Below are 20,394 nucleotides of genomic sequence, written 5' to 3' on the forward strand. Positions count from 1 at the left end.
CTCATGAGACTTAATCACTACCACAAGAACAGTATGAGAGAAACTACCCCCAGGATTCAATTACCTCCCACTGAGTCCCTCCCAGGACACACGGGGATTATGGGAACTACAATTCAAATGAGATTTTGGTGGGGACACAGCCAAACTATATCACCTATTTATCCGATTTTTTAGTTTTTAGTCTTCATAAAATCACAAGCTAAAGATTACTGTAAGTAAAAATTAAACAAAAGTACTGAATTAAATGCACCCAAATGATAGTTGAAGGTGTCATTCTGATACCCAGATTGGGGTAGGACACATATAATAACATCTAACCTTTCGTTGAGTGTCCACTAGGTTTCAACAATCCTAATCCTTAAAATAATCCTACAAATAAATATTAATATCATGCTTTATGTAGGAAAGAAAGCTAAATTTAAGAGAAATTAAGAGACTCTCTCAAGATTTTTCAGTTACTGCTTGTAGGATCAAGATTTAGATCCAAAAACAGGCTTTAAAGTCCATGCCATTGTCACACTGCAAGTTACCCACCCCCACAAGATTATGCATCAATACCCAGAGAGTGGACCTAAGCATTGACAATTATCAGGTGCTTTTGCTACCTTTTATTTAAGAAACAAGTCTGAAATCTAACCACAAAATGTTTCAATACTTCATAATTTCCCTAAGATCAGGAATCAACAAAAAAGGAAGATGAGTGAAAATATAGTCAATGAACTTCAGAATGAAGCTGTGTGATATGGCTTGGCACTGTGTCCCCACCCAAATCTCACCTTGAAGTGTCATAATCCCCACGTGTCAAGGGTGGGACCAGGCGGAGATAGTTGAATCATGGGGGCAGTTCTCCCTGTGCTGTTCTCGTGGAGGTGAATGAGTACTCATGAGATATGATGGTTTTATAAGGGGCTTCCCCCTTCAATCGGCACTCATTCTCTCTTCTGCTGCCCTGTGCAGAGGTGCCTTCTGCCATAATTGTAAGTTTCCTGAGGCCTCCCTAGCCATGTGGAACTGTGAGTCAATTAAACCACTTTCTTTATAAATTACCCAGCCTTGGGTATTTCTTCATAGCAGCCTGAGAATGAACTAATACACTATGTTTAACGATACATAATGGTAAAATGAGTGATTAATTCAAATTACATTGTAGAATAATCAATCTAACATGATGTCTGGTATCTAATAAAATGTCCATCATTTTTTATTAATTCTGAGATGAGCCTGCTTTTGTGTTTTTGCATTATAAAATCAGAATGCATCTCACAATTGCTATCAGTCAGGTAAAATTGCAAAGTAGTTATCATCACCTGCACATCTTTGAGTTCAGTTGTCATTCCTAGTGACCCAACTGGACAATCACAACCCATCAATATTTCTGTCAACAAACCATTTCAGGCCCACTTAAGGAAAAAATATGAGTCCTGGCTATTATGTGAAAATATTCTATTGGTACCTCAGATAGTCAAGTAAGCACAGGCATCAAATCTTCCAACTAAGGATCAACTGCTTCAAAGAAAATCCCAGAGACAATACTGGAGCATTCTTTTAAGAAGTTCTTCATCATTAACACTCTGAATGGCACAGAGGATGGCAGTGTGAGGAAAATCATGAACCCCAGCAACTGAGCCAACAGGATTTCCAGAGAATTGGAGTCTGCATGTGAACAAATTTTAGGAATGCCTCAGCCATTTTTACTTTATTTTCCTTTTCCTTTTGATGTGTACACAGAATGAAGTATCAATTCTAAAAATATTTTCATAATTAAGTCTTAAAATAACTCTCCACTATGTATAAACTAAAAATCCTAACAAGCATCATGGGTGTGTGCACACGTGTGTGTGAGAGAGATACAAAATAAGGTACACTTTTCAATTGACAAGGTCTCAGATTTTATAAAATTTGTAAGATTTCCAAATATTTAAGAAATATATTTCAGTCTTATTTCTATTTCTCTGTGTGTGGCTGTATTTTTTCAAGCATAGTCTCCAAAATGTTTACATCTTTTAAAGAGACATCAGCTATCAGCCTCAACGTTGGAAGATGTTTAACCCTGTGTTTAGATTTTTTAAAAAACTATTTCATTTAGGCCTGAATAGACTTACCAAAAAATGTGGCTTCATCATATTTCTCATTATATAATATTCATAGAACAACCATCATGCACTCCAAGATGCTGTACGGAATGCAAAGAATATACCTCTTTCTAAAAAGCTTACCTTCCAAGACTATGTCCACAGGATGGGTAGATCTACTTTCTGTTGAACATTTGCCTCATCAAATGACCAGTAATAATGCAAATAATTAGCATAAATATATACCAATTAGTAATATTTACATATACTACGTTGGTATATGTAAGTATTCGGTGTCTCTGTTCAAATGCTACAGGTTAATTCCTTTTAGGAGATTTGAAGCTATAGTTTTCAATTCCAGAATTGGAAATAAGACAGAAAATTTGACAGTGAGGAAAGAAAAGTCTACATGGGAAAGAGAAATTATATGTCTCAATTTCAGTGGAATGAAGATAAAAATTAATATATGATGTTGTCAACCTTGACCCATGCTCCTTCCACTCCATATATTTAAAAAAATTGTCTTTGCCCACTCGGCTTTACCTGTACATTTTCCACCCCATAGGAGTTTCCTTTTTACCAGCCTACTTCCAGGCTTTTATGAGGCCTATGAGGCCAGGTAAGACAATTACAACAAGACACAGGATCATGAGAGGAAAAGGGAGGATAAGAGAGTTTAGAAAAGGAGAAAAAAGGTAATTTATTAAATTAGCTGAATTGTAAACATTGAAATCAATGAAAAAATCCAAACATAATTTAGAGTGTATAATTTTAAAAAGTCAAAATGTGGATCTCGGTTAGTGTCTGGCCTTCTCTTTTTCAGTAGTATTGTTTCCATAATAGTCCATTTCGCAGAAATAAGAAGGAGAATAAAACTTAGAGAAAAAGAGGAGGCCAAAAGGGGCAAGGTAGTGGCTACTTGCAGAAACCTGAAAAATATGTGTGACAAAGGTAAGTTTGAGTTACAAAGAAAAAGCAACAGCAACTTCCCCCTCTGGTCTTTCAGGTGTTATCTAACATCCATCACGCTTATCAAGTAGAAACCTTTTTTAGAAGGTAAGTAGAAAAAAAAGGACAACTGAGTTATTCAATCATGTCTTGGCCGGTGGAGCATGGGGTTGGGAAATTAGGTGGAAGGGCGATAGTCTACCTTTACAGTAAACCGGGCAATTTTCCTCTTCCAAACAGATCTTCCTTATTAGAAAATGTTTCTAAAATAACTGTAAATATGACTTTCTAAATGATAACATAATATAAAATGGGGACTGAGGGGAAATAGCCTACATTTTACTAAAGAATTGTATTTATTTGTTATTTAGGAAAGAAACATGGAGAGTTGTTTCTGCAGAGATGTGTGGGGGAGCATATTACATGCAAAAGCATAAAAAATGCTTCTAGTTTCAAGATGTTGCAAATATGCCTGCTTGGCTGCAAACTAAATAGGTATTTATATGTGGTAATAATTTAGGTAATTTATTGTTGATTTTGAGAATCAGAAAGACACGGGGTAATCCCAGGTTACATATCAAAAGTGGAATGATTACCAATTAAAATTTACCATCCTAATTCCATTCTGAAAGACAGTCATAAGCTAAGAAGAAAAAGATTCACGATGCACATATTAAAAATATGAAAATGAGGCCGGGTGCCGTGGCTCACGCCTGTAATCCCAGCACTTTGGGAGGCCGGGGTGGGCGGATCACCTGAGGTCGGGAGTTCCAGACTAGCCTGACCAACATGGAGAAACCCTGTCTCTACTAAAAACACAAAAATTAGCCGTGCTTGGTGGTGCATGCCTGTAATCCCAGCTACTCAGGAGGCTGAGGGAGGAGAACTGCTTGAACCCGGGAGGCGGAGGTTGCGGTGAGCCGAGATTGCGCCATTGCACTCCAGCCTGGGCAACAAAAGCGAAACTCTGTCTCCAAAATATGTGTGTGTGTGTGTGTGTGTGTGTGTGTGTGTGTGTGTGTGTGTATAAATGAATGGTTTACAGATTAATTTTCAACTTTCATTGAAAAACTTGGAGTCCTAGCAAATGACTTGGAGTTGTGTCCAATTACCAAGTTACATACTGTTGCCAAAATTCAGCTCTCTTCCCCAGAGGCATTAACTGAGATTATGGGAAACGCACAGCAAAATTGACGATGCAGCTTTTTACCTTTTTAAGAGGATTAAAATAGAATTTGGTTGTTTTTAATAAGCTTTTATGTGTATTATGTGTCTGCGTGTATATATTGGGTACACACACGTATGTATCTCTATGTATATTTTTATATGTAGATAAGTTGTGCCTATCTCCTTTGGACTCTAACAACTAAAATGTAATAAATCAACCTTTTGTGCACTAACAAATTTAAGGCTTGACTACTCCACACACTCTGGTTTTAGCACTTACTGGAATCAAATCATAAATACCCTTAATTTTATTAAAATGCAGTTGTTATTTTCCTTTTGCTCTGGCTTATGATGATATAATACCAAAAATCAACATACTGTTTCATATCACCCACTTTCAAAACTATATTTCAGATATGGTAATAGAAAGGCTTCTTTCTATACTGGCATCTACTCCAGTTTTCAAAAGCAAATACATAAAGGACATGTTTCAAGAATGAAAAGATGATATAAGCTAAAATAAATAAGTTATTTCTAAGACATAAGTAATAATTGCAATGTAAGTTATATAAGTCTCAGTGACAGTACTCTGGCAAAGACATCCATTTATCAGTCGAAGCAAGTAATTCCATGTTCTGTGAATGGCAGAATGAGACCAGGTTCGACTGATTTATGAAGTGATTTTTTTTTTCCATTCTACTGAATGATTGAGACAAAGGACCTGCAGCAGTGGTGGTTCATATTTTCTGTTGAAGTGCCAATTTTTTGTATTACTTTTGTTTTGTTTCTAGTGGAGACATTGTTGTCTCATTCACCTACCTATGTTGAATAAGAAATTAAAGTTTAACTCTAGGCTATTCAGGATGAATGGCCCCAAGAAAGTAATTGAATAATTCCTATCTTTCTTACATCCTGCTTTGAGTGTCATATATGGGAAAAGTATTTATCTTTGTATATTCTTTTAAGTCCAGCATGATCCCTAGGATGTAGGAGGCACTAAAAAGAAATTGTAGAATCAAGTTGAAATGGCCTCTAAACCTGCTGGATAGGCAGCAAACTGTGATGGGGAAGCAAAAAACCACAATCTCATAATCCTGACTTGGGCACTTACAGGCCGGGTAGACTATGGGCAGACTCAGTTTGTTCACCTGTCAAATGGTAATAACCAGTTTCTACCTTATAGGGCTGAAATGGGGATTAAATAACACAGTGCATGTAAATTGCCAGTTACCAAAACAAGGAGGATGGGTCAGGCTATCACTAGGTTTAAGTAAGGGGCCATCTCCAAGGAAGAGAATGGTCTAGAAAAATGACATTCTGTCTTTCCCTTCTTCTAACTTTTTTTTTTTTGAGACAGAGTCTTGCTCTGTCACCCAGGCTGGAGTGCAGTGGTGCGATCTCGGCTCACTGCAACCATTGCCTCCTGGACTCAAGCGATTCTCCTGCCTCAGCCTCCTGAGTAGCTGGGATTACAGGCGTACGCCACCACGCCCAGCTAATTTTTGTATTTTTAATAGAGATGTGGTTTTACCACGTTGGCCAGGCTGGTCTTGAACTCCTAACCTCAAGTGATCCCACCTGCCTCAGCCTCCCACAGTGCTGGGATTACAGACATGAGCCACCGTGCCCTGCCCCTTCTTCTAACTTTTATATAGGCAAGTGGATTCCAAGTGTTGCTTTTAAAGGCACATAAACACAAAACACACACACGGGCACACACACATACAACAATCCCAAAAGGCAGCCTGAAGCCAGAAGGAAATGAAAGGTGGATAGAGACAAGGCCCATCTGTCAATTTATCTTGGCCATAAACACGGGCCTTGAGATGGCCTCCATATTTTTGCTAATGCTTTTTTGTTCTTGTTTCCCCTCACTCTGCAGCCCCACATCAACTGGGAGAACCACTTCATCCCCTCCCCACCAGCTGCTGCCCAACTCACTGCTTAACCAATCATCATTACAGCCATATAAGGACTCCCCAGAAAGTCAAGGCTCAGGACATCACTCTTAATTCTGTTCTTCTCAGAGTGCGGTACCAGTGCCCCCAGGTGGATCACTACATGGAGAGTACAAAGAGCCTCAGACAAAAGCATGGAGTATCTATTTTATTTAAGGATTTGGACTACAGAGGAATATCTTTACACTAAGACAAATACAGACATATTATGGAGTAGAATGTAATATTGTCATGAATTTTTCAGACAAAATAATGGATGTTAAAGAAAATTCAAGCAAACTGAGAGAGGGCGGAGCCCAAGGCTAGGTCCTAAATGCCCCCATTTCCCAACTCACGAGTATACATACTTCCTTCCCTTGGTCATTCAGAGTAATTTTCAGACAAAGACTGAGAAGCAGTGCCTAGCACATTTTCTTAGATAGACTTCTAAATGTTTCATAAGAAAGTGGGTGTTCTAAGGAAAAAGCTGTGCCCCTGAAGGTAGAATCTCATCGCGCTAAACAGTATAAGAATGTCTAATTCATCACATTTGCCATCTAGATCTATTTTCAATTGCAGATTGATAACATATATTAATAGCATTAATTTTAAAGCTACTAGAAAGTCTATCCGGTAAAAAATACCACATGTAACCACAAATATCTAATAGGTAAAAATTGCTGAATGCAAATCTTCTCTTTTGGCCCAATTTTATGCATTGGTACAATGTTACATGGGTTTTTTTTTTTGTTTTTTTGTTTTTTTTAGATGGAGTTTCACTCTTGTCGCCCAGGCTGGAGTGAAATGGTGCATTCTCGGCTCACTGCAACCTCTGCCTCTTGGGTTCAAGCAATTCTCCAGCCTCAGCCTCCCAAGTAGCTGGAATTACAGGCACCTGCCACCATACCTTGCTATTTTTTTTTTTTTTTTTGTATTTTTAGTAGAGACAGCATTTCACCATGTTGGCCAGGCTGGTCTCAAACTCTTGATCTCAGGTGATGCGCCCGCCTCAGCCTCCCAAAGTGTTGGTATTACAGGCGTGAGCCACCACACCCGGCCAATGTTACATATTCTTAATAAAATAAGTTAACAAACATCCCATTCATGCAGCAAACTATTGAGAAGCTACTATGTGCAAATAATTTTGGTTCATACAAAGTGAAATAAAATGTGGGGTTTTCTTTCAAGATATCCACAATCTAAGCCCTGTGAAACAGAATGTAAATCACATACATAATTTTAAATGTCTTGATAGCCATATTCATAAAAGGAAAAATAAGTAACATTAATTTTAATAATTTGGTATTAATTTCAATAATATATTTATTTAACCCAGTATGTCCAAAATGTCATCATTTCAACATATAATCAACAAAAAAAGTATCATTAAGACATTTTACATTCTTTTATTATAGTGAGACTTCAAAATGTATTTTACACTTGCAATACATCTCATTTGGACTAGCCGTGTTGCAAATGATCAAAAGCCACATGTGACCAGTGGTTACTATATTGGACAGCACAGAAATGAATCATTAATAAATACTGATTAAGCCCATAATTTAAAAATTGCAGCTGCAATACCAGTTCCTGAAGATACAGTGGTAAATGAGATGTTATCCCTGTCCTCACAGAGCACACATTCTGGCAAATGATGACAAAGAATAAGTAAAAGATAACTATAATACAAATGGTGAGTGTTACAGGAAACAAGCCCAGGAGTGGTGTAGAGACTGCTCGGTGGGAATGGGGTTGAGAGCCTGTTAAGGGATGGGGTAAAGCGTTCTGTATTAGTCCATTCTCATGCTGCTAAAAAGGCATACCTAAGACTGGGTAATTTATGAAGAAAAGAGGTTTAACTGACTCACAGTACTGCAGGCTGTACAGGAGGCATAGTGGGGGAGGCCTCAGTAAACTTACAATTATGGCAGAAGGCAAAGGGGAAGCAAGCACAACTTCATATGGTAACGGGAGAGAGAGATCAATGGGGAAAGTGCCACACACACTTAAATAATCAGATCTCCTGAGAACTCACTCAGTATCACTATAATGGCAAGGGGAAAATCCGTCCCCATGATCCAATCACCTCCCACCAGGTCCCTCTCCCACTATTAGGAATTACAATTCTACATGAGATTTTGGTGGGGACACAGAGCCAAACCATAACCATATCAGGCTCTATTTTAAATGGAGTGGCTAGGGGAAGATGTCTATGAAAAAATAGCATTTAAAGCAGAGAACTTGCATTAGTTTTCTATTGCTGTTGTAAGAAATAACTAGAAACCTCACGGCTTAAAGCCACATAAACTGATTACCTTACAGTTCTAGAAGCTCGAAGTCTGAAATGGGTCTTATGGGGCTGAAGTCAAGATGCTGGCAGGGCTGTGTTTCTTTGGAGGCTCTAGAAGAGAATCCATTCCTTTCCTTTTCAGTGTCTAGAGGCTGCCTGCAGTCCTCAGCTCATCACCACCTTTGTCCTCAAAGCCTAAAAGCTCCTCAACCCAGCTTCTATTTTCACATCTCCTTTGCTGACTGACTCTCCTGCCTCCCTCTTTTGCTCATAATGACTATTATGATTAAACTGTCCCCAGCCGGATAATCCAGGCATATCTTTTCATCTCAATATCCTTGACTTAATCACATCTACAAAGTTCCTTTTGCCATGTAAGGTAATTTATTCACTGGTTCCTGGAGATTAGGACATGAACGTCTTTGGGAGGCCACCATTTGCCTGCCATAGACCTGCAGGATACAAAGGAGTGGAAAAAGAGTGTTTCTATCTAGACTCTAGAGTAAGAAAGAACTTGGCAAATTCAAGGAACTGAAGGAAGATCCATGTTACGGTAGTACAGAATGCAAGGGGAAGAATGGTGCAAGACAAGGCTGGGAGCAGGGTAGGGGCCAGAACACACAGGGCCTTTTAGGCCATGTTAAAGAATTTGAGTTCATTCTATTACAACTGGGAGCTAGTTGAGGCTTTTAAGAGATTATTACCAAATAATCTAAGCAGTAGAATCAAGTATCAAGTAATCTAAGCAAATTTAAGCAGTAGAGGTTATTATCAAATAATCTAGCTTATGTAATAATTGAATTAGTTTGGCTGCTGGAGGAGAATGAGTCAAAGTGGAACATAAATGGAAGTGAGAGGACCAATGAAGGCTGATGCCAAACTATTCAAGACAATGGCAGTAGATAAGGACAGAAGTAGCCCAGTTGATTATAGTGCTAGTCATAAAGGTTACTGTTTATCAAAACTTGAACTGTATGCTTAATATTATGCACTTGATTGCAAGCAACTTTTTAAATATCATAAAATCATGACTGCACCGCGCAGCTCCCGGCCGCCTGAGCGCCTGTTTGCTGCCTCATACTCCTCCATCCAGCCGCCATAATAAGTGCCAGCCGAGCTGCAGCAGCCCGTCTCAGGGGCACCGCAGCCTCCCCGGGCCCTACGGCCGCCCGCCAGCAGGATGGCTGGAATGGCCTTAGTCATGAGGCTTTTAGAATTGTTTCAAGGCAGGATTATGCGTCAGAAGCAATCAATGGAGCAGCTGGTGGTGTTTATTTGGGTACTACCAACTCCTGTGTGGCAGTTATGGAAGGTAAACAAGCAAAGGTGCTGGAGAATGCCGAAGGTGCCAGAACTACCCCTTCAGTTGTGGCCTTTACAGCAGATGGTGAGCGACTTGTTGGCATGCCAGTCAAGCAACAGGCTGTCACCAACCCAAACAATGCATTCTATGCTACCAAATGTCTCATTGTCCAGCTATCCTGAAGTACAGAAAGACATTAAAAATATTCCCTTTAAAATTGTCTGTGCCTCCAATGGTGATGCCTGGGTTGAGGCTCATGGGAAACTGTATTCTCCAAGTCAGATCGGAGCATTTGTGTCGATGAAGATGAAAGAGACTGCAGAAAATTACTTGGGGCACACAGCAAAAAATGCTGTGATCGCAGTCCCAGCTTATTTCAATGACTTGCAGAGGCAGGCCACTAAAGATGCTGGCCAGATATCTGGACTGAATGTGCTTCGGGTGATTAATGAACCCACAGCTGCTGCTCTTGCCTATGGTCTAGACAAATCAAAAGACAAAGTCATTGCTGTATATGATTTAGGTGGTGGAACTTTTGATATTTCTATCCTGGAATTTCAGAAAGGAGTATTCGAGGTGAAATCCACAAATGGGGACACTTTCTTAGGTGGGGAAGACTTTGACCAGGCCTTGCTACAGCACATTGTGAAGGAGTTCAAGAGAGAGACGGGGGTTGATTTGACCAAAGACAACGTGGCATTTCAGAGGGTGTGGGAAGCTGCTGAAAAGGCTAAATGTGAACTCTCCTCATCTGTGCAGACTGACATCAATTTGCCCTATCTTACAATGGATTCTTCTGGACCCAAGCATTTGAATACAAAGTTGACCCATGCTCAATTTGAAGGGATTGTCACTGATCTAATCAGGAGGACTATCGCTCCATGCCAAAAAGCTATGCAAGATGCAGAAGTCAGCAAGAGTGATATAGGAGAAGTGATTCTTGTGGGTGGCATGACTAGGATGCCCAAGTTCAACAGACTGTGCAGGACTTTTTTTGGCAGAGCCCCCAAGTAAAGCTGTCAATCCTGATGAGGCTGTGGCCATTGGAGCTGCCATTCAGGGAGATGTGTTGGCCGGCGATGTCACAGATGTGCTGCTCCTTGATGTCATTCCCCTGTCTCTGGGTATTGAAACTCTGCGAGGTGTCTTTACCAAACTTATTAATAGGAATACCACTATTCCAACCAAGAAGAGCCAGGTATTCTCAACTGCTGCTGATGGGCAGACACAAGTGGAAATTAAAGTGTGTCAGGGTGAGAGAGAGATGGCTGGAGACAACAAACTCCTTGGACAGTTTACTTTGATTGGAATTCCACCAGCCCCTCGTGGAGTTCCTCAGATCAAAGTTACATTTGACATTGATGCCAATGGGATCATACATGTTTCAGCTAAAGATAAAGGCACAGGACATGAGCAGCAGATTGTAATCCAGTCTTCTGGTGGGTTAAGCAAAGATGATGTTGAAAATATGGTTAAAAATGCAGAGAAATATGCTAAGGAAGACCAGCGAAGGAAGGAATGAGTTGAAGCAGTTAATATGGCTGAAGGCATCATTCATGACACAGAAACCAAGATGGAAGAATTCAAGGACCAATTACCTGCTGATAGTGCAACAAGCTGAAAGAAGAGATTTCCAAAGTGAGGGAGCTCCTAGCTAAAAAGACAGTGAAACAGGAGAAAACATTAGACAGGCAGCATCCTCTCTTCAGCAGGCATCATTGAAGCTCTTCAAAATGGCATACAAAAAGATGGCAACTGAACGAGAAGGCTCTGGAAGTTCTGGCACTGGGGAACAAAAGGAAGATCAAAAGGAGGAAAAACAGTAATAATAGCAGAAATTTTGAAGCCAGAAGGACCACATATGAAGCTTAGGAGTAAAGAGACTTCCTGAGCAGAAACGGGCAAACTTCAGTCTTTTTACTGTGTTTTTGCAGTATTCTATATATAATTTCCTTAATTTGTAAATTTAGTTACTATTAGCTAGTGATCATTTAATGGATGGTGATTCTAACAGTATAAAGTTCACAATGTTCGATGTCCCTAGCTTATCATTTTTCAGCTGCATGTAAAAGGAAGTAGGATGAATTGATCATTATAAAGATTTAACTATTTTATGCTGAAGTGGCCATATTTTCAAGGGGTGAAACCATCTCGCACACAATCATGAAGGTAGTCAGCCATAGACTTGAAATGAGACCACATATGGGGATGAGATCCTTCTAGTTAGCCTAGTACTGCTGTACTGGCCTATGTGTACATGGGGTCCTTCAACTGAGGCCTTGCAAGGCAAGCCGGCTGTGCCATGTTTGTAGATGGGGCAGAGGAATCTAGAACAATGGAAAGCTTAGTTATTTATGTTAGGTACAGCTATTAAAACAACGTAGGAATGAGGCTAGACCCTTAACTTCCCTAAGGCATACTTTTCTAGCTATCTTCTGCCCTTGTCTGGCACCTACACCCTTGATGATTGTTCTCTTACCCATTCTGTTTTTTTTTTTAATAAATATGTAAAGCAAATAAAATAAAATTATGAAGTTAGATTTTTCTCTTTTATAAAAAGAAGAAACGACTTCTGGCTTTATGAGTGTGAAGAGCAACCTGTCTCCCACAACACATGGGATTTCAAGATGAGATCTGGGTGGGGACACAGCCAAACCATATTACCATGGCACGTTGTACATAATACTGTGATGGCGTTGATCTCATTCCATCAACCTACTTGTCCTGTCCTTCCCTCAGAGCTCAATATTGTACCCAATTGTCACACAGTTTCATCTTGGGATGAAAACTCTATTGGACTCACCTTCATTCATTCATTCATTTATATATTAATTCTACAAACAACTATTGAATGTCTGCAACATGGATTATACTGTGTAGGCATTGGGGACCGAATGGTCAGCAAAAACAGAAAAAATCCCTATGCTAATGCAGTGTAGAGTCTAGTGAGAAAGACTGGCTTTGATCAAATGATCACTGTTACCTGTAAAATTATGTCAGTTATAAGAATTATGAAGATTTTTGTGCTATGAGAATATGTAGTAAAGTATTAGCAGGTCATGGAACGTTTCCCTGAAAAAGTAAGGCTGGTTCTAAGATCTGAAGGACACATAGGACCTAATAAGATAAAAGCAAAGAAAGAAAACCTAACAGTCAAAGGGAATGATATATACAAAGGCCGTAACACAGGAAAAAAAAAAAAAAAGGCAACTTGCTCCTTGAACTGAAGGCCGCTATGGCTGGAACACAGAAAACTCTGTGCAGAAATAATCCCCTTACTCGTCAGACCACTATCTTGACCCAAAATGAATATGATCCTGTTCATATAGTAAAACCCATACTGATAATATTGGCCACTATTAATGGGGCATTTACTATGTACTAGTCCATATTTAAAATATTTTATATGTATTAAGTCATTAAATCCTCACCACAATTCTATTAAGGAAATGTTGCTATTATTCTCCCACTTTATAAATAAGAAAACTGAGACACAGGGATAGGTAGCGTGCCCACGTTGTAGAGCCCAGATTTGAAACAAGTATCCTGAACCTTATGCTCCTCCTTCCTCACACTCACATGTCACATGTTGAAGGCAGCCTGTCCCCACCTGGCCCCCTGTGTTAGGTAGTTCTGGGAGTCTCTAGCACAGCTTTCCCTGGGGAAAGGGTGATGACCAGGAACTGTCATTAACAGTCATCAGTGGGTTCAGCAGTTCCTAAGTAGTGTCTAGTGAGAGGTGAGAATGATTTGTCACCATTTGTTGAAAGAAGGTAAGAAGCACGAATGAATTGAGGCAAGGTCCCAGTCACCCTAGAAAGGTACAGTGGGTGCTGACAGAGAGCTCAGGCAAATCATCAACACTTGACTCAGTTACTGTCTTTGAGAAAGGTAATGAGGATCTTTATTAAATTGCTGAGAAGGGAGTATGCCCACAAGACAAAAGAGATGTTGTAGAAAAATTGCCCCACTTGGCAGGCAAGAGACCCAGCTCCTTGTGGCAGCTCTGCCATTGACCTTGGGCAGACACTTAACATCCTCAGGCTTTGGTTTTCTTATTTGTAACATGAGAGGACTGGAACAAGTGGTCCCTGCAGGTTCTCACAGCCTCTGGAGTTACTGAGACACCAGGAAGTAAAATTCAGCTCCTCTCCTGTATTTCTGAAGGAATAGACTTAAAGGCAAGAAATATTCCTAAACAACAATAGATAGCCCAGGCCATTCATGCTACAGGAACCTTTGATACATGGATTACATAAGTAAGTAAATTCAAACAAACAAAAGAGAAACTCTGCAACCCTTTGCAAAACATGAAGATTTTTGTTAAGGTGACCTCAACTTGCACCAAAATAAAATTATAAAGGAAATACAAACATTTATTCTTCCCAATGCTCCAGGTCCCCCCAAATTTGCATTTGCTTCCTTCTTTCCTCCACCTTACTAATTGTAAAAATAAGGGGCACGCTAAACATTTAAGTATGCAAATTTTAAAAATAATGAACATTCTATGCTTCTTTTGTGTTCCATTGTAATAAAATCTATTGTTCCATCCATCAGTCTCATTAGAGTAGGTTTTGACCTATACTGAAAAAAAAACACTCAAATGTTCAAGCTCATCTGCCAAATGAGGGGCCTCAGAAGGACAATCTCCACTGTTTCCTCCCCCAGTGAATATTATATGATTCTCCATGGAAATGATTATAATAGATCAGCAGCACTGTGGTTTTACACAAAGGGTAGGACCTCATCGGCAGGCTAGAAGCCTAGAAATTGGAACTATCTCGATGAATACAGAAAAATTTTCTCATGGTTAATATGTTCTCCTAATCATGAAAAAATTTTAAGAAAGAACTTAGAGGTCTCACGGTCTGTTTCCTTCCCAAAGTACAGGATCTAGAAAAATGCTATTACCAAATATCTTGATGTAGCTTTTCTGTTGTTAAAAGAAAATACATATTGCTGAAAGAAGAGAGACATTGCAGAAGTTACCTCTCAATCAGCTTTTCAACAGGTTATATTGCAGGCATGAAATGAAAGCACCAAGACTTTGATTATGTGTAGATTATAATTATGTTAATTATGTTTCTCTTGTGTTTTTTTTTTTTTTTTTTTGAAACAGAGTCTCACTCTGTCACCAGGCTGGAGTGCAGCGGCGCAATCTCAGAGGCTCACTGCAACCTCCACCTCCCAGGTTCAAGTGATTCCCTTGCCTCAGCCTCCCAAGTAGCTGGGACTACAGGCACGTGCTACCATGCCCGGCTAATTTTTGTATTTTTAGTAGAGATGGGGTTTCACCATGTTGGCCAGGATGGTCTTGATCTCATGATCTGATGATCCCCCCAGCTTGGCCTCCTAAAGTGCTGGGATTACAGGCATGAGCCATCATGCCTGGCCTATAATTATGTTTTAAATTTGGGGCCATATCTGGTCACTATTTAACAACATGTTCATCTAAAAATTAAGTCCTTTAAAAAATTATTATTGGGTACTGGATTCCAAGATAGGATTCCATATGTTTCCTATACTTTACCATTACCAAGGTGTAAGACCATGTTTTATCTGCTATTTCCACAATGAAGGCAATGAGTAATTGAATCAATAAATTAAACGAATAAATAAATTGAATATTTGATCCATATATTTCTGGCAGAATGCAACAAGCAACCTCTTGGACCAGACAATTCTATTGATTTTTTCTTTGTCTTATTTATTCCATGTTATTACTTAAATCAAATAGCAAATCAAGCAGTTATAACCTTCTGTTATTGACCAAAAAAAAAAAAAATAATACACAGGAAAGAATATGTTAAGAAAGAAATTAATAGCAGATTAATACATTTATCAATGTAGCAAAATATTGTCAAACCAAATAACAGAGAAGGAGACTGTCTAAAATAAAGTAATATTTACTCTGGAATGGGCACTGCAGTGAGGAATATGCATGCCATAATAAATTGTGTGCATCTGCAGGGAGGTAAAGGAAGACAAAGGTTTTTAAAGAAAAAATGAGGATTGCATAATTGTTTTGAGATAATTATCCTTGGCTGAAAGGATCAATAACAAGGGTGGCGCCAGTATGAGGTTAGACTGGCAGTTGCTGAGCAGATGTCCCCGCAGAAGCATTTGTGTGTGTGTGTGTGTGTGTGTGTGTGTGTGTGTGTGTGTATAAGGTTGCAATGGCCTTTTTTGCAGTCTTTTGTGGTAGTTCTTGTTATCAGACACTCATGATGAGACCACTCTCTTCCTGGCCTTTCCCAACTCTATTTGTCAGGGTTTTTAACACAAGTGACTCCATTTTGATTCTGACAACTTTCACAATATTTACAGATGATCGTTTAATAATCACTGGAGAGAGAGATGCAGGTTTCTTTCTAGTTTACTGAATTCTTCCCTTTTTAGTTGCCACAGAAATCTTTGTGCTGACAGCAGCCCTGTGTGTGACATTTAGGCCCACAGACACCCATGTGATTCTAGAAAATGTCTCAAAGAAGGGACCTGGATTTTCATCCCTTTGCACTCCTGCAGTTTAGTTAAACAGCGGCGGCTGAACACAGCCACTTGCCATCCATTTGGTTATGATTCTTCTGCTTCATCATCAATCCAAGCATTGACCTAGTTGTAGAAATTCGGATCTAGTCAATTCTCCTAAATATCTAAAATGTGCACAACAAATCCAGTTCCTCCAACAAGGGTTAACCTTCGCCTCTTCTCTGTGTGTTTTTATACATTATGTATCTGCACTTTTGCATTAAGTGGCTATAATTAATATAATTTTGTTAGAGGCTAACTAAAATAAAAAGCCTTATCAATTAAGAATGCATAATATTTCATCTTAAGAAACACCATCTTCTAAGCATTAATGTCTTTAGACTACCATAAATAAAACATCAAGGAAGATGCTTGTGCATAAATCTTTGACCACATCTCTAATTAATTTTTCTTCAGGATAGAACTTTAGAAAATAATGCTGTCAAATTGAGAGATAGTAAAAATGTCCTTATTTTAATTTGAATTTTCCTTCTTATTAGAGGTTAGAAATTGTGCACACAGTCTTTGCCCTATGTATTTCTTCTCTTGTGAAATATCTGTTTACATCTTTTGCTTATTTTTCTAAGTCTTACGTTTTCAATACCACATTCGACTGCATGTGTAATTTGTAATTTAAAATAGGGTTCAGTGAAAGGAGGTTTACAAATAATATGTGTCATCACCATCATTTAATTATTTATTTAAATCTTCTCCTTAAAGTTATTCCTTTTAAAATATCTCTAAAAATTTTTTGTTAAAATGCCATTGAGAGCACCAGACAGGCATTTGAAATATCTTAAGATAGTGTTAGGCTGCCACCTAGCACTTCGGTGTGGAACAGCCCAAAACACCCATTGAAGGTTTTCTCATATTCAGAGCATATCGAATACAGTAAACACAAAAATGTCACCTTATGTCCTGAATCCAGAAAGGCTAAAAACTAATGTCAATGAATGCAAAAACTAGGACTCCCATAGACTCAGGGACAAGGTATTCCATATATACATATCCTCTGTATTTAACACTTGTCACTGTTTACCTTAATTGAAATAGGAACACTACTCTGAAAGTCAAGAAAACTTGAGTCCTCATTCAAAACTTACTGCTAACAGATGTAGTCATCTTTCACAGCACAATGAGCCTCCTCAGGACTCCGTTTTTCCACAAAATGTAAGGAAGACAAAGGAAAGCTGTCTTGTTCCTCGCACTCTGCAAGGGTGCAGATTAGTGGTGCATCTCAGAGAGGACTGTATGCTTCTGGGGCTGTAGGAGCTGTGTAAGGTCGGATATGGGGTTGCTTGCAAACTTGGCCTCTTCCTGGTCACCCTCCCCTTCATCTCACCCCTTCCCCCGGAGACGGAGAGCACTTTCTCGGGTGCAAATGCTTGACCACATGCCTGCTTGACCATGCTTCTGGTCTCGTTGGAGAGCTTTAGAGAGGGACAAAGAGGTGAGGATAAAGGACCTGCCTTCCCAATCAGCCTGTCTACAATAACAGTAACAATAGTCCAAGTCCTATTATCATACAGTGTCCAGTGCCCATACAACATGGACTACTCACGACAGCTTCCTGATCTTCCGAAATTTCTCACCGGCTGGCCTTCTGCCTTCTTCATGGGGGACACAAGCCCCCCTTCATTCTTCTATAAGCTGTAAATATTTTTCAAAGCATAGTCTCTCTGCTCTTCTCTCCTCATGCTTTTGCCTTCAAAGGAATTGTTTTCTTTGCACATCTTAAACTCTTAGGGTTTGATTGAAAAATCTTTAACTCCTGGGCAGAATTTTCACTTGAGTGCCAGTGATGGGTGTTCAGCTGTCTGCTGGAATGTTTGATGTCCCGTCCCTAAAACCATCTTCCTTCTTCACCGTGTATAACCGAACACTCACAAAATCCTGACGGTTTTTTGTGTAGCTGTTTCTCCTGCTCACTGCTTCCTTTCTGTCCACAAGGGACTCTTTGTGGCATACATGGACCATGGTAATGCCATCTCTTTAGTCCTTTGCTCTTTTAATCCAGATCTTCCCCAGGCAGAAACCCACTTTTCCCCACTGTGCAACAGCATCATTTTCTATGTATGCCCCGAGGTGAGAATGGTTGCTAAGCCCCACTCAACTCCACCCTGCATGTGCCTGCCAAATCAGACGTCTTCAACACTGGCCTCATTGCTGTAAGGCCCAAATCTTCCTGTTAATCTTTTTCATTCTTCTTTCCCACCCTGCCCTGCCGGGATTCCTGTGTTCCAAGCAATTTTATTTCAGTGAGATTCTCAGATCATGCCAACTAAAGACTTGTAACTCAAAAGTGTGGTCTGTGAATCAAGGGATATTGGCATTACCCGGGATCTTTTTGAAAATCCAGACTTCCAGTTTCCACCCCAGAATTTTGAATCAGAATCAGAATCTAAATCTCAACAAGATCCCTGGGAAATTCATATGCATGTGAAAGTTTAAGGAATACAGAATACACACACCCCCAACCTCCCTGTTTTTCTCTCACTTCATCTATGTATTTCCTTAATTTTACATTCACAATCTAAAATTATCTTGTTAATTTATTTTCCTTTCTATCATCTGCCTCATCATATTGGAATGTAAGCTTTATGAGAGCCAAGCCCTCATGATATTTACTGATGTATATTTCTAGTACACACTCAATAAATAATTATTAAGTAAATAAGTTCTGAGCTCATTTCCTTATTCTCACTTTTATTTATGACAGATCTCCAATCCACCTTGCCTTCTCTCCTCCTTTTCTCCTTTTTAGATATTATTTATCCAGCTGGGTGCCGTGGCTCATGCCTGTAATCCCAACACTTTGGGAGGCCGAGGCATGTGGATCACCTGAGGCCAGGAGTTTGAGACCAGCCTGGTCAACATGGAGAAACCCTGTCTCTACTAAAAATACAAAAATTAGCTGAGGGTGGTGGCATGCGCCTGTAATTCCAGCTATTTGGGAGGCTGAGGCAGGAGAATAACTTGAACCCAGGAGGCAGAGGCTGCAGTGAGCCGAGATTTTGCCACTGTGCTCCACACTCCAGCCTAGGCGACAGAGAAAGACTCTGTCTCAAAAAAAAAAAAAAAAAAAAAAGGAAGAAAGAGAAAGAAAGAAAGAAATTATGTATCCAACAAATTATTTCTCAAACATTCCAAGCACATGCACTTCTGACCTCCTAGACCCTATAGGAACAACTCAGACACCCACACTCACTTCAAGTGCTTTTTGTGTATATGTTTTATCTCTCCAACCAAAATGTAAATGTCAGGAGGGCAGAATCTGTGCTTTATACTTTATTGGTATTTCCCAGAATTTACAGCAAGCAGATAAATGCATTCATTCTAGGTGAAAAGAAAGATTTACCAAAAGAGTCACAGAGAAAGTCTAGAAAAGAGAAATCCTAGAAAATAGTTTAGACAAATCTCTTTACAAGTACATTGAATGGACTTCACGTGAGTCCCCATAGCAAAGGTGTGTTATTTAATTATTATAAGTTAATCACCTCACTTACAAGTTGTGTTTTACATTTTAATATTATTATATTGTCTCATTGAGATTATTTTAAAATAATCCCTTATCCTAGAATGAAACTTGCATCTAACGTTATGTTTAGAGATTTCACATGACATCTTTGCTAAAATAAGTTTCAATTAGAATGAACTTCACTTAGGACACGTCAGTTCCTAACTTCCACTTTGATCTCTTCATAAAATCTTCCTAGTTTTGAATTTGAAAATAGGGCTAATCTTCCCCACGGTGGGGTATGAACTCTTTATTGTAGGGATTCTGTCTTTTGCATGATGTTAGTGAGGGTTTATGATCCCAGACGTATGTTGCTCCATTTTTCTGTCCATTCCTACATTGTTTGTGGCACACATCCCACATATACCAAGAAGACCGATTAGCTAATCTGTCAATCTTGATAAAGTGCCTGGAAATGCCCTGAAGAATTACCCAAAATAATAGTTTATACCACAGACACTACAAACTGGAAAATGTTTCAAGCCTCAAACACTCTCCCATACCAATTATCTAACTTCATTATGGTTTTCCACCTTCTAGGTGGCATTTAGCATAAAATGTCTTCAAGGTGGCATTTAGCATAAAATATTTGCACTCTTTCATAATACTAAATAGAAAATACCTGTATATTT

General features: G+C 39.2%; 1 long non-coding RNA gene and 1 pseudogene across 1 annotated transcript in view; one reads left to right on the top strand and one right to left on the bottom strand.

Moving 5' to 3' along the window:
• The window catches only part of LOC105373900 (uncharacterized), a 54,688-nt gene extending 46,054 nt beyond the window's left edge, over positions 1–8,634 (bottom strand). Inside the window, exon 1 of the long non-coding RNA XR_923944.3 lies at positions 8,440–8,634. This is a non-coding gene — a long non-coding RNA (uncharacterized LOC105373900). The remainder of the gene's footprint in view (positions 1–8,439) is intronic.
• On the top strand, positions 9,445–12,232 carry HSPA9P1 (heat shock protein family A (Hsp70) member 9 pseudogene 1; annotated as a pseudogene).

The sequence above is a fragment of the Homo sapiens genome, chromosome 2 (genome assembly GCF_000001405.40).
Source record: "Homo sapiens chromosome 2, GRCh38.p14 Primary Assembly".
NCBI classification, from domain to species: Eukaryota; Metazoa; Chordata; class Mammalia; order Primates; family Hominidae; genus Homo; species Homo sapiens.